The 22,226-nt window shown below is 41.8% G+C and overlaps 1 protein-coding gene across 39 annotated transcripts in view, besides 1 other annotated feature; it reads right to left on the bottom strand.

The window, feature by feature from the left end:
• The window catches only part of KANK1 (KN motif and ankyrin repeat domains 1), a 275,809-nt gene that overhangs the window by 160,639 nt on the left and 92,944 nt on the right, over positions 1-22,226 (bottom strand). The window lies entirely within an intron of this gene.
• Positions 10,195-11,034: an enhancer, noted in NCBI's record as "NANOG-H3K27ac-H3K4me1 hESC enhancer chr9:574431-575270 (GRCh37/hg19 assembly coordinates)". NCBI's record gives its function as "activates a minimal SCP1, AML or CMV promoter by ChIP-STARR-seq in naive H9 embryonic stem cells {active_cell/tissue: H9 hESC(naive)}" and the evidence as "EXISTENCE:reporter gene assay evidence [ECO:0000049][PMID:30033119]".

Raw genomic sequence — 22,226 nt, 5'->3', positions numbered from 1 at the left:
CATTTTTATTTGAGGCTGATACAAGGAGCTTGTTCCATCATCAATGGGTAGACCATTGGTAGACAATCTGACAGCTGTCTCAGGAAGCCAGATATGAATTCTAAGTATGTCCAATGTCTGTCAGATTTTGTGACAAAGTGAACGTGTTCTAATTGCAAGTACCATTTTAAGACCAAACTCTCAATGGCAGCAAGGATGATGCACAGCGGGCAAAGATGACTTGTTGCTAGAGTTTTACCTGAAGATGATGGTTGAAGCTCCAGGGGTAAATGAAAGTTCTAAGGGGAATCAGTAGAAGACACAGTGAAGGGTCAAGGGACATGGAAGAAGACACTGAGTGGTTACAGAGGCAGGAGAATAACCACAAGGGTGGAGAGGCACACAAGCCCAAAGAGAGTTGAGTAACACATCAAATGCTGCAGATAAGGACAAAATGTCACTGGGTTTAACAATAAGGAAGGGGGTCACTCATGACCCCTAAGGGCAGTTTTCAAAATGGCAGATACAGGATGCTGACTGCAAGGCATTGAGGAGAAACTGGGAGGAAGGCAAACGGAAACAAGCAGAGACTTCCTGCCAAGAACTTTGGCTCTCAAGCCAAAAGGTTTGTGCTGGTCATTTTCTAACCCTGAACTTAACAGCTCAACCAAATACCCAAGCTTGCTCTTCTTCCCTTGGTCCTCACCTGTCCATGTGCAGCGAGCCTGAAAGCTGAAGATAACTGACAGTTGACTGCAAACCCTTCCCGCCTTTTCTCTTCCAGCACCATCCTCACATGCCTGGTTTTGGTTCCCTAACAAATCTTACAGAACTATTCAACAGCTCTATGTTATCAAGTCTCAAATGCTAAGTTATATTCTTCTTCTGCTGTAGGTAAATGATAGTTACTTATTTAACATAAAAGGAAAGACACCAAAATGTGTCAAATCAACAGAACAGAAGTCTAGGTTCAGATCAAATACCATATTACTATCTTTGGATAACCTATGTAATTTATGCTGAATTATTAAAAAATAATTTTTCTTCCTTCAAAGTAGTACTTTGTTCTTTACTGTAAGTTCATAAAAATCAAAGAAAAAATAAAAATCATGAGGATAATTAGCACTTTGTTGAACCGCCTTCCACTTTTATATGTATGCATGACACATAAACATAATACACAAATGTGTAAGTGCATGTAAGTTTCACTAAAAGTAAATCATATGATATTACTTGTAACTTGTTTTTCCCACTTATTCTGATAGAAATTCTGTACCATTTAATAGTCTTGTATGCTTTCATTTTTAATGACTGATCAATAATCCATTTTAATAAATTCCCTTGAAGCACTTAAGTCACCTCTTATTTTTGATTATATATGTAATGCTGAGAAAGATATCCTTCACTATACCATCAAGTATTTGCCTGGGATAAGGTCAAGGTCAAATGTACAGAAAATGTGAGGATCTGATATTGTTAATTTGCCCTACACAATGTTTGACCCAGTGGCACATGACAATACCCACTCCTCCACACCCCCTCTAACAATGGGTAATGTTATTTTTTAAATTGTATTGTATAGATTTAATTTTTAAATTTTGATTAGCATATCTTTGGGGTTGAACACTTCGCACCTTTTTACACTCTTGTTCATGTTCTCTATTTTTCTACTACTGTGTTCATCTTATTGATCTGGAATACCTTTTCATATATCCAAGATATTAATTTCATATATCCAGGATATTAATAAAGGAAGTATATGTTAATATATATTACTATATAATGGATTTATATATTTATATATTAATATTAATCCATATATCCTTGATAATGGAGAGAAAACAGTATATTTATTGAAACTTTTGCCTACAAGGAACAAAATCAACTGAAGCATATTAGAGCCATAAAGGATCTTTATATAAGGATACTGAGGGATCCTTCATAGAAGGATACTAATATTAAGCTTTGTCATGTGTATTACAATTCGTTTCCCCAGCGTATTTTATTTCTAAAATGGAAACATCACTACTTCACTAATCTATTTTGAAGATTAAAGAACATGCAGGTAAAGTCATGAGTGGAAGTAATCATCATAAAAACAAAAGCAAAATTGCTGCTACTTACTGAGGACTTAATAAGGTCCCGTATCCTCTCAGTCCTTATGATGAACCTACTAGGCAGGCATTTCCATTCCTCTTTTACAGATAAAATGTAACAGATACCCATAGACAATAAAGTGATAGTTAGATTTTAATTTTTACAAATAAGCTCTGTATTGATCCTAAAAAAGACTTGGTAACAGAATTATTCCCAGCTGTGTTTGTAGTAAAATTTCCTCCTTAGAAGTAATCCCAGGGACTACTCCCATTTCTGCCAGCCACAAACCAAGTTACTAGGTTCTGCACCAACCAGTCTTTTAAGTTTCTCTAGTAAATTCTCTTCTTCCCCTTCCTCTATGACATATCTTTACTATTAAGTGTCATTCTGATATCAAAAAAAATATTTTTGGCTAGGAGCCAAGGCTACATTATCAGTCACTACAAGTTTAATCTGATGACAGATACTTTGCTAACATTACAAATACATTAAAGGTTCTTCACCGGCTTATATGTTAGTGACGTCTATAGTAACAGTGTACATCTGAACCCACGCTTTTGTGAGGGGCAAAGCACACTGTGCTGTATAAATATTTTATGTACAGCTTGTACTGAAATTCTAGATGAAGAGGCATTCACAGAGCCTCTGTAATATGCTGGTTACTCAAGACAGCATATTTTTATTAAAGTTGTGTGCAAGCTTTGCCATACTCTACAGAGATCTCCTTTATTTAATCATAGTTCTCCCACCCCAAATGTTTTTATTTTTTAAATGCATTGGTTGTGCTATGGGCAAGGCAGCATCTGAAATAATGGCAAAAGGAAGGTAGCTGATCATCTAAACTGGTTGTAGTCAATTAGGCTAGCCACTGAGGATTCTGAGGGCAAAAGTGCACAGTGTGAGTGAGGCTGGTAGATGAGTTTCTTTGCAGGAATATTAACAGAACTAGACTACCCATTGCCAGAAAAGGGAAAAGGAAATACTTTTATTAGTTCACTGAAGATTTATAGAAAATGCTTAAGAATTTGAAGGCTACTCTTACGGAATAACAGGTTTCCAAATGGGTTTTGGAAACAGCCAAACAACAACAACAACAAAGAAATGCCTCAAATCCTCCTGACAATTTGGGGCAGGTAAAGCCACACACACCCCCCATACTCCCCTCCTCCCACAAACCTCCAGCAAGTAGCCATGAAGAAGGGCAGTTGCCACCTCTACGTGGGGAACTGGCCACAGGAGACTGCTGCTAGGTGACCACAGAGAAGCAGCGCCTCTTGCACCACCTGGCGGCAGCCAGCATTTGAGCAGTTACCAACTCTGGGGCAGGGGGAGTTCCAATGTTTTTCTCTCTGAAATTTCCTCATTCACAAGGGTCGAGGGCTCTGGCTTACCTTCTTGAGGAGAAAAGCAGGTGAGAAGATAGCAAGATCTCTCACACTTAAGGGAGATCTTGGAAGTGAATGACTGTGAAACTCTGAGTGGCAGATGGCCATACCTGCACTCTGGCTGCACCCTGAGGTGTGCAGCAACCCCAGGAGGATGGCTGGATGCTGACAAAGCACCCTCCCTAGCCTCAAATGCAGCCCAGAAGCAGTAGGGACTGGTGTAAACGGATAACTTCTCAGGCCTTCCTGACATCATGACATTAGTAAAGCCTGGAACCTTGGCACAACTCTGGGAGGGTGATATGGGAAAGAAATCCAAGAATAATCGAGGTGAATCTTTCTGCTACCTGAAAGCAGTAGAAGCTTAAAGTCAAGATTAAGTCTATTTAGCAAACTGCAATATTCTCTGCACCTCTAGTTTGTGGACTAAGATTCATTCCCAATTCAAATTAACCCATTACCAAGCAAGTGCACTAATGAAGAATGGTTCATAGCTAGTAACCTATGTATTTTCTTAGTTCAACATCATTGACTTCCATCAGTGGATCACGGATCAAAATGGTATTCAGAATAAAGGACACTTTTAAAACAGATTTACGAGAAGGCTCTTGTATCATGCAAGCATTTCACAAAGAATTTCCAGTCTCACTTGCCACCAATGCCATGTAAAGGGTCTGTTTAAGATAGGCATTGAGAGGTGACAACGTGCTGTCAGCCCTTGCCTGCTCTCGGCGCCCCCTCTGGCCGTGCTTGAGGAGCCCTTCAGCCCGCCGCTGCACTGTGGGAGCCCCTCTCTGGGCTGGCCGAGGCCGGAGCCGGCTCCCTCTGCTTGCGGGGAGATGTGGAGGGAAAGCCGTGGGTGGGAACTGGGGCTGCACACAACGCTCGCGGGCCAGGAGTTCTGGGTAGGCCAGGAGTTCTGGGTAGGTGTGGGCTCGGCGGGCCCCACACTTGGAGCGGCCGGCCCCTGGGCAGTGAGGGGCTTAGCACTCCAGCCAGCAGCTGCGGAGGGTGCGCTGGGTTCCCTAGCAGTGTCAGCCTGCCAGCGCTGCGCTCCAATTCTCACCAGGCCTCAGCTGCCTCCCCGTGGGGCAAGGCTCGGGACCTGCAGCCCACCATGCCGGAGCCTCCCCCAGATGCCGTGGGCTCCAGCGCAGCCCAAGCCTCCCCAACGAGCACCGCCCCCTGCTCCGCGGCGCCCAATCCCATTGACTACCCAAGGGCTCAGGAGTGCGGGCGCACAGCGCGGGACTGGCAGGCAGCTCCGCCTGCGGCCCCAGTGCGGGATCCACTAGGTGAAGCCAGCTGGACTCCTGAGTCTAGTGGGCACTTGGAGAACCTTTATGTCTAGCTAAGGGATTGTAAATACACCAATCAGCACTCTGTGTCTAGCTCAAGGTTTGCAAATGCACCAGTCAGTGCTCTGTGTCTAGCTGATCTAGTGGGGACTTGGAGAACTTTTGCGTCTAGCTCAGGGATTGTAAATGCACCAATCAGCACCCTGTCAAAATGGACCAATCAGCTCTCTGTAAAATTGACCAATCAACAGGATGTGGGTGGGGCCAGATAAGAGAATAAAAGCAGATGCCTGAGCCAGCAGTGGCAACCTGCTCAGGTCCCCTCCCACAGTGTGGAAGCTTTGTTCTTTCACTCTTTGCAATAAATCTTGCTGCTGCTCACTCTTCGGGTCCGCGCTGCCTTTATGAGCTGTAACACCAGGAAGGTCTGCAGCTTCACTCCTGAGGCCAGCGAGACCACGAACCCACCGGGAGGAATGAACAACTCCAGACCGGAGGAACGAACAACTCCAGACGCGCCGCCTTAAGAGCTGTTACACTCACCGCGAAGGTCTGCAGCTTCACTCCTGAAGCCAGTGAGACCACGAACCTACCAGAATGAAGAAACTCTGAACACGTACGAACATCAGAAGGAACAAACTTCGGACACACCATCTTTAAGAACTGTAACACTCACCGCAAGGGTCTGTGGCTTCATTCTTGAAGTCTGTGAGACCAAGAACCCACCAATTTCGGACACAGCATCACTGGAGACAGCAGATGCTGACAGTCATGAAGCCTCATGGGGTGGAGTCATATTAGAAAATTCAGCACAATCCAGGACTGATTCACTGTCTGGCCTGAGGTTTTTCAGGTCCAACCTCCAGATTTTCTTAGAGCCAAAGATGATTACTTTCTAAGTGTGGGGTTAATGAACCCACAGCAACATGTGAACGGAATAACATAGGGAGAATGCTTTTGTTCCATCTATGCAAGCTACTCCTCTCTTTGGGGTCTTCTGACTGGGCCACAGGGTCAGAGGTGGACCTCCCATACTGCCTCCCTGCACCCACCTACCTCCCCCACCATGGCTCACTGGACCACATAAAGATGTGAGACCTATGCTGAGAAGATGCTTCTCCCCTAGGGTTTTAAAATTGGGGCTGAGGAGCTGACAGGCGGGCTCCAGATGGAGCTGGATCTGTGTGTTGCATGCTGTGGACGACACAACAGAGCTGGAGTGCAGAAAGGTGAGGATGGAGCTGAGAGAAGCAGGGACAACACACAGAGACAGAGTCCTTCAACTTCCTGTGCTTTTCTATTTTTGATTCTTAGGTTTTCTCTGAAGATCCTGGATTTTGGGGAGGACTTCAGTATCCTGATAACATCCTCCCCAAGTTTGTTTTGTTCCTAGAAGCCAAAGATTCCCAGTTGAATACCATCCTTTCCCCATTACCAAGCTAATACCCAGCTGTGCTACGGGAGCCCACACTGGGGGCAGAGGGAAGCAGACCCAGGGTGGGTGGGTCGGGGAAGGCTACGTGGAGGGCACCAGCCCTCAACTGAATACCTCCCCAGTTACTAGACCTCCCATCCCTGCAGCTTCAGTGTGCCTTCCCTGCCAAACTGTGCCTCACTGAACCCGATTTTTCTTGGCTTGCATGCGGAATACTCTGCTTCAGCTGGCATTTTTTATGTCTATGTGTTCAAACATGCATATAGTCAATTTTTCCTATTTTCAGCTGCAGACATTTATTAAGTCAAGATATAACAGTCAAATTCCTAGAGTTATGAGAGTGCTCTGCCCTCCATCCCCTCCCCATGGATAAGCTCGTCATCTTCGAGATGGGATTTTTAGCATAGCTTGAGCCTACATTTCAAATAAAAGTTAAATATTATACAGAGGTGGGAGAAAATGATTATGTAGAGTAATATTAGTTTTCTGACAGAACTGGTAGGATTTGGAATAATTTCTCCCATAAACATCCAAGTACAATTTCTTGAGGGTAAAGAAGAGTCCAACTTAGTAATGGTTATTTTATTTTCAATTGTCATGCTTGATTTTTTCCTAAAACTTGCACTGATGCTTTAACAGTGCATAAATCTAGCTGTTTACATATTTATTTTTTAAAATCAACATTGAGATATACTCCTAAACTATGATGATGTTCCAGGGGAAAACAATTAGAATAGATATATTTAGTTTTTAAGATTTTTGTATAGAGGACTGCACCCCCTCCCTGCCGCCCAACAAAAAAAAAAGGCTTTTTCTTTCAGGATTAATAAGAAATGAAACATTTAATTGTCTGTGGTCCATGTCAACAATGTTGCTAATATATTTCATTTTTTACCCTCCATGGCTTAGCAAAGGCAAACACACACACACACACACACACAGTTGAAAAATAAAATAAAGAGACTCAAGAATCCAAATCATACTTCCTTACTTGGTATCTAGATATATAAAGCAAGAAGAATGTTTCCTACTTTGTTTGAAGCAAATAAAACAAAAGGTGAATGCTTTTACTGATTTATTTCTGGGGTGATCCAACGAGAAAGCAATTTTCTGAGGAGTCCTCATTTGGCTCAGTTCTGCCCTTTAAACCATAAGCCCCAGTATGGCCAGTTCAGTATCCTCTGGTGTTCTTCTCTTCTCTCTCAGTTCTTGTGGAGGAAGTGATCACATCTAGGGGTGACCTGGTTACAAGGTGAAAGGAGGCCTCCTAGCTGGGCTCTGAGTGAGGGAATGATGTGTGCACAGGTAATGATCAACAACTAGCACTCTTTGGGGCTTTGCAGGATGCCATTGTGAGCTTCAGGGTGCTCCTATTCCCAAAGTTTACAGGTGAAACAGCTTTACTTTCCCAGAAAATTATAATAAAAAGTACAATTTTAAAATCCTACTTCTCATGCGTAAAGCCAGTGGTTCTCAAATGCTAGCATAAATCAAAATCACCTGCAAGACTTGTTGAAACATAAATTCCTGGGCCCTACCCTCAGAATTTCTGATTCAAGAGGTTTGGGGTGGAACTTGAGAATGTGTACTTCTACCAAGTTTCCAAGTGATGCTGTTTCTGGTCAAGGGACATTTTGAGAATAACTGCCTTAAACAAAGAAGTCTGAAGGGTGGGCACAAGCTATCTGGGAGATGATACTGAGAGGTGAAGCCGGCTGAGCTTCTGGGTCGGGTGCGGACTTGGAGAACTTTTCTGTCTAGTTAAAGGATTGTAAACACACCAATTAGCACTCTGTGTCTAGCTAAAGGTTTGTAAGCGCGCCAATCAGCACTCTGTAAAAACGCACCAATCAGCGCTCTGTGTCTAAAGGTTTGTAAACACACCAGTCAGCACTCTGTGTCTAGCTAAAGGTTTGTAAATGCACCAATCAGCACTCTGTAATAACACACCAATCAGCACTCTGTAAAATGGATCAATCAGCTCTCTGTAAAATGGGCCAATCAGCACTCTGTAAAATGGACCAATCAGCAGGACGTGGGCGGGGCCAAATAAGGGAATAAAATCTGGCCACCAGAGCCAGCAGAGGCAACCCGCTTGGGTTCCCTTCCATGCTGTGGAAGCTTTGTTCTTTCGCTCTTCACAATAAATCTTGCTGCTGCTCAGTCTTTGGGTCTGCACTACCTTCATGACCTGTAACACTGCAAAGGTCTGCAGATTCACTCCTCAAGTCAGCGAGGCCATGAACCCACTGGAAGGAAGAAACTAAGGACTCATCTGAACATCTGAAGGAACAAACTCCGGACACACCATCTTTAAGAACTGTAACACTCACCGTGAGGGTCTATGGCTTCATTCTTGAAGTCAGTGAGACCAAGAAACCACCTGAAGGAACCAATTCCGGACACAATACAAGCTTTCTGTTAATAGTATAGAAATCTATTTAACAGTTATTTATCATGCACCAGGTACATGGTACGTACAGGGAATGTCATGGTTTGCAAAAAAAAAACAAGGTCCCTCCTCTTCCTCTCCCACAAACCTGAAATAAAATTACTGTTCCAGGAAGAAGCACCAAGTTCAAGATGAAGCTTTCTGTATCTCCAACACAAACTGCATGCCCCATGAGGAAATGTACAGTCCCCTAAATGAAACAATGTCAAGTCTCCGTGATTGCCAGTGAAAGAATCGAAGCAAACGTCTGAGCCTGCTCTCAAGACTGAGATTACAACTAGAAAATGATGAAGTACCCAAAACATATAAGGAGCACACTATGACAAGCATATGATTGGCATGAGGGCTAAATGCAAGGGAACTGTGGGAAAGATAGGCACAGTGCCTAGCAGAGCAAATATTGGTTCCTCTTCTGCTTTCTTACCTATCTGTATATTAAAAGGGAGGCCAGTAAGGTTGTCTATGCTGGGCCTTCAAGGAGGCTGCCAGCTGCTTCTTACCTTGTATACACTCAGGACCCAAGGGTATGTTATCTCAGCAGCCCTGAGCATTTAAACTCATAAAATTATAAAAGGATGGTATGAAGCTAGTGGTACTGAAACTTTATCATGAATCAGAAGTATGTGGAGGGCTTTGTAAAAACACAGATTCCTAGACTCCCACCTTCAGAGTAAGCAGTAGGTCTGATAGGGCCTAAAAATTTAAAATTTCTAATAAGTTCCCAGATGATGTGAATGATGCTGGTCCATAGACCATACTTTGGGAATCATTCATTAAACTTATTGTTTTTTGTTTTGAGATGCAGTTGCACTCTGTTGCCTACGCTGGAGTCCAGTGGCACAATCTCAGCTCACTGTAACCTCCACATACTGGGTTCAAGCGATCTTCCTGCCTCAGCCTCTCAAGTGGCTGGGATTATAGGCATACACCACTACATCTGACTAATTTTTGTATTTTTAATAGAGACAGGATTTCACCATGTTGACCAGGCTGGTCTTGAACTCCTGACCTCAAGTGATCGGGCCCGCCTTGGCCTCCCAAAGTGCTGGGATTACAGGCATGAGCCACTGTGCCCGGCCAAGCTTATTGCTTAAGCCATTCTTTCCTTGCTATTAACTAGAACACTATCTCTGTAATTAATTTTTTTTGAGACAGGGTCTTGCTCTGTTGCCCAGGCTGGAGTGCAGTGACATGATCATGGCTAACTGCAGCCTCAACCTCCCAGGCTCAAGCAATCCTCCCACCTCAGTCTCCTGAGCAGCTGGAACACAGGTGTGCATCACCATTCCTGGCTTTTTTTTTTTTTTTTTCCCTGTAGAGACAGGGTCTTGCTATGTTGCCCAAGCTGGTCTCAAACTCCTGGGCTCAAATGATCCTCCCAGCTCAGTCTCCCAAAGTGCTGGAATTACAGGCAAGAGCCACTGTGCCTGGCCTCTGTAATCTATTATATAAAACAGAAGTCTCATGAAGTACTAAGAATAGTGGCTTTTGTCACCAACTGCGTGACTGACCTCAGGCAAATACTGTACTAACTTTCTCTGTGCTTTAACTTTACAGATATAAGTGGAGCTTATCTCCAAATTATACAAATCTCACTGAAGGTTATTACTATGCAGTTTTAAGGACATTACCAAGTATCAGCTGCTGCCTTGTCTTTGAGAATATTGTTCACTGCTTTAATTGAAATATGTCAGAACATTTAAGACAAGTACCCTAGACTCCTCATTTGCCAAGCAAGATGGGAGAAGCCCAGGATCTTTTTCTGTTTTTGTTTTTTTAAACATAAAGCCTAGCAAATGTTAGCCTTCTCAAAATTCAGAATAACCTGAGAAGATGCTTTTGATATGTAAAATGACTTCAAGTTCCCCTGTGGGCATAAAGACAAGGCAAACACAGGTTTCAACTTAAAAAATATATACACTTAAAAAAAGAAAAAATATTTTTTTTCTTTTTTTTTTTTTTTTGAGACGGAGTCTCACTCTGTCACCTAAGTTGGAGTGCAGTGGTGCAATCTCGGCTCACTGCAACCTCCCACCTCGCAGGGTCAGCGATTCTCCTGCCTCAACCTCCCAAGTAGCTGGGACCACAGGCACGTGCCACCATGCCTGGCTAATTTTTGTATTTTTAGTAGAGATGGGGTTTCATTGTGTTGGCCGGGCTGGTCTTGAACTCCTCACCTCAGGATCCACCCGCCTCAGCCTCCCAAAGTGCTGGGATTACAGGCATAAGCCACCACGCGCGGCTGAGAAAGAATATTTTCAAACATTACAAATAAAAAGGCTTCCTCCCTGTTGAGAACAGAGTGGTACAGCTGCTCATTTCAATATTAACAATCATATAAATGACATACTTCAATTTAAGGTGGAAAAGCAGGAAGTGAGGCTCATTTTCCCAGAGCACCCCATACTTCAATTTAAGGTGGAAAAGCAGGAAGTGAGGCTCATTTTCCCAGAGCACCCCAGTCAACTAGGTCAAGCATTAAAATATGCCAAAGGAATGTTCCCTCGAGCCTCATTCATTATCAGAGTGCAGGCTCTGGTATTTCAGTAAAGACCGCTGGGGCCCTGCCCACTCAACATCCTCATGATCCTTAGCCTTTATGGAATGTTACAGGTACAGAGCTTCGGCCCCCTTTCCTAAGGGAAGAGTGGGTGCGAGCTGCGCTTTTCAAACATGTGCGGCAGAGAACAAAGGCCACATGATGTTAGTGATGCATCAGTGATTTCTACTTCTACAGGACAAGACTCCTTCCAGTACAATAAAGACAAATCCAGGTTACCCTGGCAAACTTCTTGGAAGCACAGAGCTGCGGCGGATGGGCACAGCCCATTAATCTCCTGGTTGGCTCCTCCAAGCAACTCTCAGCTTTCTACTCTAAACCTCTAATTAAAGCTAAATGCAATTACAAAACAAAAAGTGCCCTGTTCATCTACAGTCCACCCAGTCTAACAGAAAACCTTTCAGAAGTGTGTATGAATCTTGTAAATGTAGGAAAACTGACCTTCTGACATCAGTCACTCTCAGCACAATGAAGTAATTCCTGTCTTTTCACTCAGGATTTCGAAAGCAAACCATCAATCAATGGGTGAGGTGGGGGTGGGAGTGTTGAGCTAGAAAACGTCAACCATTTTAACATTTTCTTTAAGATAAAAATAAAATGCCCGCGACTTACTTAATCCCTGCTATCCTCACCACCTTTTCTCACTGATACCGACTTATATTACTTCTGGCTTTAAAAAAAAAATCCTTGACCGGGCGCGGTGGCTCATGCCTGTAATCCCAGCACTTTGGGAGGCCGAGGAGGGCGGATCACGAGGTCAAGAGATCGAGACCATCCTGGCTAACACGGTGAAACCCTATTTCTACTAAAAATACAAAAAAATTAGCCACGCGTGGTGGCGGGCACCTGTAGTCCCAGCTACTCGGGAAGCTGAGGCAAGAGAATGGCGTGAACCCAGGAGGTGGAGCTTGCAGTGAGCCAAGATTGCGCCACTGCACTCCAGCCTGGGTGACAGAGCGAGACTCTGTCTCAAAAAAATAATAATAATAATAATAAATCCTCATTTTTATTTATTAGATAAGTTTAGTGACAAGTGAAATCAAGTTGTTCCTCTAGCTCCTCCACATTTACAAATTATACTTTATTCTCTGATTATAGAGACTGTCCTTTGGTAATGACATCAACTCACGCAGCACTTGACTGACTGCAGCAGCATATCAGCATCATGAATACTCCAAGTCAGACTCTCTTCCATATCTGCCAGTAATTACAATTTACACCAGCTCAAATATTTTCTCACAAAGCATGCCAGAAGAAAAGAGAACTTTTGGTTAAACCTCAACTTTATTGTATTAGGACATACATTGTGATAATAGTAATGAGACTGCAAAGTATGAAAAGGCAAGTCCTAAATGGATCACTTGATCCAATCTTACCTTTTTCTAGCCCAAAAAGAAATTTTATTTCAGAAATTTTTAATATAAAGATGGAAATGTGGGAAGACCGTTATGCCAGAAACAGCGATGTTTTAACTCATGAGTTAAAACATGTTCTGATGCAAAAAATGCACTGACTTTAGAAATTTCTGCTTAACACACATGTCCTTCAAAAAAGCAAAAGTAGGGCTGGACATGGTGGCTTATGTCCATATTGTAATCCCAGTGCTTTGGGAGGCCATGGCAGGAGGATTGCCTGAGGCCAGGAATTCAAGACCAGCCTGGGCAACATATCGAGACCCTGTCTCTACAAAAAAAATTTTTTTTTTTTGAGATGGAGTCTCGCTCTGTCACTCATGCTGGAGTGCAGTGGAGCGATCTCGGCTCACTGCAAGCTCCACCTCCCAGGTTCACGCCAGTCTCCTGTCTCAGCTTCCCGAGTAGCTGGGACTACAGGAACCCACTACCACGCCCAGCTAATTTTTTTCTATTTTTTAGTAGAGACGGGGTTTCACTGTGTTAGCCAGGATGGTCTCGATCTCTTGACCTCATGATCCGAAATAGCTGGGTATGGCAGCACAAGCAAGTAGTCCTAGCTGTTCAAGAGGCTGAGGCAGGAGGATGCCTTGAGCCCAGGAGTTTAAGGCTGTAGTGAACTACAATTTCTCCACTGCACTCAAGCCTGGGAAAAGAGCAAGACCCTGTCTCTTAGAAAAAAAAAAAAAAAAAAAATCACTGTTTATTACAACCATAAGTTAAGAGTTGTATTAGTGGAGGGAAAACATTGACTTTCCATTTTTAATTTGTTTTAAACTGAAATGCCCTAAAAAAGGAAAATAAGCATCTCCTCCCAGCAACCTCCAAAGTTGGACGGCAGAAAAAGATGCCCAACCACAAAGTTCCGAGTTGTTCTGCACCTACACCCACAAGTAACCTGGGAATACTATCACCTGGTGAACTTGGGACTTGATTTATGAGACATGAAGCTAAAGTACAAACTCAGAGTCCTTACCAAATACATAAGAATTTTCCTATAAACCCATATTTTTCTCTCTCTGAATAATCTATGTGCTGCCTTTTAAACAAAATGAATTCTTTAACTTTTCTGATAAATGACAGAACATACCTTGCTCCATGTGTCTGCTTCTCAGCTGAGACTCTATAGTCCAACTGTATTTCTGGCATTCATTCAAAAAAGCCAAACTGTTAAGTCTCTAAATGTAAATTTATATGAGATTAAAAAGTGCCTGGGAATGAGACAGTTATCTTAGTCACGTTTTTCTTTTTAAAAAACGTTTTTAAAATTTTTTTTTTTTTTATTTAGAAGTGAAGCATAGCTGTTTCCTTGCCTACTACAAAGAAAAAAGTAATCTACCTTGTTAAATAACATGTGACTTCCTTGGCTAAATCTTAACAAGCAATACATTCCTGACTAAGGCTTTTTATTTTATTATTTTTCCAGTGTAGGTGTTGAGAATTTTCATTAAAAAGGGCTCCAACACTGGAACAAATCCATTAACACGTGTTGCCAAAGGAACACTCTGTAACTTCTGCATTATCATACCCTCTAGCAATTGTCAACAATCTCTCTGGCAAAGGCTTCCTCTGGTTTATACATAACTGTATCGAGTATTTCTGTTTGCCTTGCTAACAATGCCTTTTCTTGCAGAGAAGACATATGACACCACCATGTCACACAAAACACCCCACAGTGGAGCTGGTTTTCGATGGAGTGCTGGAACCATCAAGGGGCTAGGTCCCCAAGGAGATGGGCACTCTCTCATACCACAACAGAGGTGCAAACTGGTCCCATTTTTACAAGAAATCAATTTGACAAAATGTATCAAGGATCTTTAGAGTAGTTTTTTAAAAATATATATGTTTGTAACTCCTGACCCAAACATTTCACCTCTAATAATATACAGTAAGAAAATGATGTTCAAAAAAATTCCACACAGATTTCAGCACAAATATATTCACTGCCCATTATAATAGCAAAAAGTCAAAAACTTACATTATTATTAAAATAGTATGCAGAGATTAAGCATGTTTAGAAAGTCTCATGAAAAACTAAGCCAACGGGTCTTAAATGACTTTACTAAATTCACATGAAAAGCAACATAATTTAGGCATTATCTAATTAGCATGCATATTTCCTAAAAACTTACAAAAACTACAAATTTTCAAAGGCTTGGTATAGATGACAATTAGTGTAAGTTACTGGAGGCAAGTGGTGTTAAAAAGGAGAATAAGTCTCCAATGCTCAGTTTCCATAATCGAATGAAGCAGCATGCACTCACATTTTATCAACAGCATTTAGAAAATTATTTCTGCCTTTTATGCTGATGAAAGATCCTCTAACAGATTAACTTTCTGGTAAGAGTACCTCAGAGACAGGGTCTAGGTCACAGATTAGGCTTCTAGGGACCTGTGTCTAGATTTCTGTTTATACGGCGAGCTGTACACCCAGCTGGGCCCACTGGACAACAGTGCAGCCATCAGTGCAACTGCCAGCAAACCTCTCTTATCTCAACACTGTTAACTATGCTCAAAAAGCAAGTCAAGGCTTTCTATTCGGGGCTTACTAAGGACATCAAATTTTCATTGTGACGAAAATACAGCTACGGATTTAAAATTTTAAGTCTACATTATCTCCACAAAAACATTTTGTCCCCAAATGTACACACACAATCATACTAGGCCAAAGAATAATACATTCTCCAAAGTAGCAATGAGAGAGCACTCTCCAAGCACAGATTAAAACAAAGCCATCACAGAAACAACAGACATCTAAACAAACAAAAAACCCAATACAAGGAGAAAAAAACTATTCTATTCTCCTAAATAATTGTTTTAAAAAACATAAATCCTAATACGAGACTGTGTTGAAAGTAATGAAAAGGCCTGGGGTGGGGAAGGTGTATAATGAATGAAAACAGAAACCTTACAACGTATCAAGTGTTACGGAATCTGATGAAGGTTGAGAACAGAGAAAAATGTAAGCCCTAAATAATTAACATAAGTGAACTACATATTGAAATGAGAAAAAAAAAACACCCAATCTGTTTGAAAAATGATTACAAAATACTTCACTAATAATGAATGCATTAATAGAAAAAATAGAAGTGAAATTCAAAAGCTTCCTTGAAAAGCCAACCAGAGAAGTAAACTTCTGGTAAGTCTAGATGAAAGAAAAGTGAACACAATTAGAATATACGTATTGTCTCAGTCAATTTTCTGTTGCTTATAACAGAATACCTGAAACTGGGTAATTTATACAGAAAAGGTATTTATTTCTTACAGGTACAAAGGCTGAGAAGTCCAAAGTCTAGGGCTGCATCTGGTGAGGGCCTTCTTGCTGGTGGGGACTTGACAGAGTCTGGAGGCAGCACAGGGAATCACATGGTGAGGCGGCCGAGTGTGCTAGCTCAGGTCCCTTCCTCTTCTTAAAAGCCACCAGCCCTACTCCCCTGATAACCCATTAATCCATTAATCCATGAATGGATTAATCCATTCATGAGGGCAGAGCCACCTCTTAAAGGCCCCACCTCTCAATATTGCCACATTGGGGGTTAAGTTTCAACATGAGATTCACATGGGACATTCAAACCTTAGCAAGCACTATAACATACTGAGGGACCATAAATAGGAGACGAACATATAGAGATAGGAAGCTATGTTTTTTGAGACAAAGTTGATAAAACAGAGGGGAGGCAGGAAGAAAGGAAGGCAGGTGGGCAGGACTGGGTCAGGCAGCTGGATACAGTAGTGTGTCAGGCAGATACTGAGAAGATACCTCTGCACTAACAGCCTCCCAATGCCCCACAGTGGAGCTGGTCCCCAGCTGAACCTCTACAGGTGGGTAGAAGAGCACCAGAGCCATTCCTCCCTCCCCAGGAGCTCTGTCTACAGTGAGCTACATACTCAAATATACCCCGATGAGTGTGGAAATCGATCCCATTTTTAAAAGATATAAATTTGGCAAAACATATTAAGGGTTTTTTAAGTGGTCATGATCTTTTAAAATGTGACTTCTGACCTGTAATTTTGCTTCTAATCATACACATACTAAGGAAATAATGTTTTTAAAAAATCAACCTTGGCCAGGCATGGTGGCTCACACCTGTAATCCCAGTGCTTTGGGAGGTTAAGGTGGGAGGCCAGGAGTTCGAGATCAGCCTGGGCAACATATTGAGATTTTGTCTCTACAAAAAAATTTTAGAAAATTAGGCAGGCATGGTGATGCACACCTGTAGTCCTAGCTATTCAGCAGGCTGAGGCGGGATGATAGCTTGAGCCCAGGAGTTTGAGGTTAAAGCATGCCATGACTGCACCACTGCACTCCAACCTGGGCAACAGAGTGACGATCATGCCACTGCACTCCAGCCTGGGTCACAGAGCAAGTCTCTGCCTCTATGGGAGAGACAGGAAAAAAACCCCACAGACTTACACATAAATACATCCACTGCCTCACTACTGTAAAAATTTCAGAAACTTAATAATTTGTTAAATTATGATACATATCTTAAACATGTTTATGAAGATTAAGGAAATGCTTACTTTATAAAGTTAGGTTGAAAACTGGGTATGATGTTGAAGATTTTAAACAAAAATATAAAAATGAATGGAAGGGACTATATCAACATTTGAATATTTTTGCCTTTGGTGTAAAAAATCTTGAGAAGTTGATTTTTAACATGCATTATAGATAAGGTAGTGGTTATAACCACATCAAGATAAATGTAAACTATTCTCACACAGGATCACTCTCTACCTCATACTTCACTCATCTGTGAATTTAGTCAAATTAACTCTTGAGCTTTGTTTTCTTCTCTGTAAAATGAAGATAATCATAGCTACCTGATATGGGCACAAAGAAAAAAAAAAACCAACAATGCCAAGCGTTGAACTTTGGCACTCTCTCTTTGGAAGACTGTAAGTTTTGTCCATGCTGGTGACTTTGGAGCCAGTTTTAAAAATTAACTCTAAATTCAATACCACTGGGCCTCTTAAAGTTATAAAACATCTGCAAACTTCTATACTGCAAGAACGTACTCAAATGAGAGACTCTAATTCTGATAAGCTCGGGCATCTCCCTGGGTAACCAATAAATTTTAAAATGGGCCAACACTGCACCAAAGTTCCATGAGGAAGGGACTTATCAAGAAGTGCTGCCTTTCAGAGGAAAACATTCTCATGGATGACTTGGTTTCACATTTCCAAACATGTTTCATTTATATGGCACATTCAAACTAAGAAATGCTGCAAAAGTTCTCTTTGCTGGCTCCAATCAATGCAGAAGGTACTTAGAAGAGGGAAGTGAAACTGCTTTTGCAAAACTGTGACAGTAAGAGATATCTGACCCTTGCTTCTAACCTCCAAGTTGTCCTTCGTCATTCCTGGGCATGGGCAAAGCTAACTTCGGGGAAAATTTAGTTTATAGTTTAACTTTAAAGCAAGAATGAGAATAGCACTTTCCAAAACTAAATCAACTTTGTAAAGCTAATGAAACACCACAAGGTTAGGGTTATGAGAAGGGCCTGAATTCTGCTAAGATGTAGGCATAGAAGGCAATCCTAAGCAAAAAGAACAAAGCTGGAGGCATTACACTACCCAACTTCAAACTACACTACTGGGCTACAATAACCAAAACAGCATGGCACTGGTACAAAACCAGACACACAGACCAAGGGAACAGACGAGAGAACCCAGAAATAAGGCCGCATACCTACAACTATCTGATCTTTGACAAACCTGACAAAAACAAGCAATGGGGAAAGGACTCCCTGTTGAATAAATGGTGCTGTGATAACTGGCTAGCCATGTGCAGAAAATTGAAACTGGACCCCTTCCTTACATCATATACAAAAATCAACTCAAGAAGGATTAAAAACTTAAATGTAATACTCAAAAACCTGGATGATAACCTAAGCAATACCATTCCGGACATAGGAATGGGCAAAGATTTCGTGACGAGAATGTCAAAAGGAATTCCAACAAAAGCAAAAATTGACAAATGGGATCTAATTAAACTAAAAGGCTTCTGCACAGCAAAAGAAACTATCAACAAAGTAAACAGACAACCTACAGAATGGGAGAAAATTTTGGCAAACTATCCATCTGACAAAAGTCTAATATCCAGCACCTACACGGAACTTAAATTTATAAGAAAAAAACAACTCCATTAAAAAGTAGGCAAAGGCATGAACAGACACCTTTCAAAAGAAGACACACATGCGGCCAACAAGTATGTGGAAAAAAAGCTCAACATTACCGATCATTAGAGAAACGCAAATAACAACCACAAGGAGATACCATCTCGCACCTGTCAGAATGGCTATTATCAAGAAATCAAAACATAACAGGTGCTGGCGAGGTTGCAGAGAAAAAGGAACATTTACACAGTATTGGTGGAAGTATAAATTAGTTCAACCACTGTGGAAGACAATGTGATGAGTCTTCAAAGTTCTAAAAATATAACTCCCATTCCACCCAGAAATCCCATTACTGGGTGTACACCAAAAGAAATATAAATCATTCTATCATAAAGATGCATGCACACATATGCTCACTGCAGCACTATTCACAATAGCAAAGACATGGAATCAACCTAAACGCCCATCAGTGGTACAGTGGATAAAGAAAATGTGGAACATATACACCATGAAATACTATGCAGCCATAAAAAAGAATAAGATCATGTCCTTTGCATGGATAGCTGGAAGCCATCACCCACAGCAAACTAACGCAGGAACAGAAAACCAAATACTACACGTTGTCACTTATAAATGGGAGCTAAATGATGAGAACACATGGGCACATAGAGGACAACAACAGACACTGCAGCCTAATGGAGGGTGGAGGTTGGGGAGGAAGCAGAGGGTGAAGAAAAATAACTATGTATTATTAACTTAACACCTGGGTGATGAAACAATCTGTACAACAAACCCCCATGACACGAGTTTACCCATATTAACAAACCTGCACATGCACCCCTGAACCTAAAATAAAAGTTTTGTTAAAAGCGTAGGTATAAATGATAACCAGCCATTGTTCTGGAAGTCACAAGATTTGTAACTTCCCCAATTACTGTGGTAAATAGCATCACTCTTGCGGAACCTAAGATTGGCCTTTTGAGATGTCTTTTCAGACTGCTGCATTTTTGACGACTGGCTGACTCCACCTGGACCTGCGACTCATGACTCAACTGGTCCTATGGCCCCTAACCCAGAGGCAGACTCAGCAAATGAGGGCTGTTTTCCACACTCCTATGATGGCATCCCCAGCCAATCAGCAACATCCATTCTATAGTCCCCTGTCCACCGAACTATCCTTGAAAAACCTCAACCCCCAAAACTTCAGGGAGATTAATTTGAGTGATAACTCCATCTCCCATGCGGCTAGCCACCTCTTCGTCAATTAAACTCTTTCTTTACTGCAATACCATGGTCTCAGTGAACTGGAAGACCCTTTTGGGTGACTACACAAGTTATGCTCTGCAGAAGACATCCTTAAACTACTGTCTGCACAAGGTAGAATGGGAGCAAACATGAAACCATTCTTTAGGGTTGACTTTCCCATTGCAAGAACTATGGCTTAAGTCTTAAAGATGAAGCTGCTACCATTTTTCTCTTTAGCAGTAACTAGTCAGGGAGTTGAATGGGTGGGAAAGATCTTAACAGGAATAGATGTTCTCCAGCTCTCTGATTAATTTAAATTGCTGAAAGTTTACCTGACATGCCTAGTGGTCTTCAAAATATATAGGTATGGATTTGCAAAGGAAGAAAAGGGGATTTTTCTGTTTCTAAAGTCACACTTTGGTCTCTCTTCTCTACCCACTGACATTTGTCTAATGGTGAAAGCAGTCACCATTCCAGCCTCACCAGGCTCCTTCTCAGTGAAGCCGCCCTGCACACACTCTTTGTTACCTGAACAGCCATGTCTGTGCCAAGTGTCTTCATTTCCCACTTCATGCAGTCACCTGTGTGGACCAGAGTGGGCTTCCCAAGAGAAGCCAAAAACAACACTGTATGTCAATGAGACTCACATGAGTTGACCTGGAATGATAAGGTGAACTGAGTCAATTAGATGCTGACTCTCAAGAATATGAATTAAGAAGCACAGAGAATAAGCAGTTAACAGTAAGGGCATCTCCTGAAAGAGTGTTAGGAGGTGGAAGAGCGGCTGCAAAGAGCCAGAGCTGAGCGCATGCTCAGATTATGAGAACACCAAAAGTAGGCATGGGCAGAAATAGGTATAGCTTTTAATATTAATATAAAGCCATCATGGTTATCAATACATGCTAAAACATTACTTTTCATCTCTCAACATTGCAACTATGTATGTTTCATATTAGCATAAAACAATCTGAACATATATCCTCAATAGAGATATGTACACGTATATAATTTATAACTAGGTGTCTACGTTGAGGACACATGTTCAGATTGTTTTGTATGTATAAGGGTGTCTGGTGAGAAAAAGTTTTACAACTTCTACTTTGCTACAGAAAGTGCATTCTGGCCGGGCACGGTGGCTCCCTCCTGTAATCCCAGCACTTTGGGAGGCTGAGGCGGGCGGAGTCATGAGGTCAGGAGGTCAAGACCATCCTGGCTAACACAGTGAAACCCCGTCTCTACTAAAAAACACAAAAAAATTAGCCGGGCGTGGTGGCGGGCGTCTGTAATCCCAGCTACTGAGGAGGCTGAGGCAGGAGAATGGCGTGAACCCGGGAGGCGGAGCTTGCAGTGAGCCGAGATTGCGCCACCGCACTCCAGCCTGGGCGACAGAGCAAGACTCTGTCTCAAAAAAAAAAAAAAAGAAAGAAAGTGCACATTCTATGACACTAGGAGACAGACGCGAGAAGTTAACACAGCTGCCAAAGACTAAGTAAGACAAAGATCCTGTCTTCTAGAGGTTCACAGGCCATAATGTGTTACAGGGAAGAAAGAAAAAAAGCACCAGTGATTTTTATTGGGTTTCCAACAAATATTTGTGTAGAACCTATGTGTGCCCTGTGCTAGTCTAGGTATTTTATATCACTTTCTAGTGACACAGTCACCACAGATCAAATAAACTATCCGGGCTGAACTGAATTTGCTGCGTCAGTGGTCCCTAAACATTTCTGAACCATAGAGCAATTTTGAGATTCTGATTAAAAAGAAGAGAAACCTCTCCCTAGGAAAGCACGCATAACTACAATTCTGGACTCAATTTCACTGACACTTCTGACCTCACACCCAAGGATAAGAAACGAATGGGTCTACTGCCTATTTGAAAATATAGACACACACATACATATCTACAAAATCATGTGATCCTACACTGAAGGATTGTTTCAACAATGCAAAGTACTTATGAGGCTTATTAATAGCCTTATATTTTCAGTTAACAACATATTACTAGTGGCAATGAGAGAAGTCCCACCACAAATAAAACAGCATGTTTATTCTCAAGTACAATGCATTGAACTGACACAGACTATCACTCCAGTTACACAATGGCTGTTCAGAGTTCTCAGTTAATGGAATATTCACAGTTTAAGACCAAACACAATGCACAAAGAACAGAAAAATAGACAAAGTTGCCGTATTAGGGATAGCAACATTAGCTTCCTGGCAACAGAGACTCTGGGGAGGGCTACA

Source organism: Homo sapiens, chromosome 9 (assembly GCF_000001405.40).
Source record: "Homo sapiens chromosome 9, GRCh38.p14 Primary Assembly".
NCBI lineage: Eukaryota > Metazoa > Chordata > Mammalia > Primates > Hominidae > Homo > Homo sapiens.
Note: the sequence above shows the minus strand (reverse complement) of the source record. Positions and strands in the feature narration are given on the sequence as shown.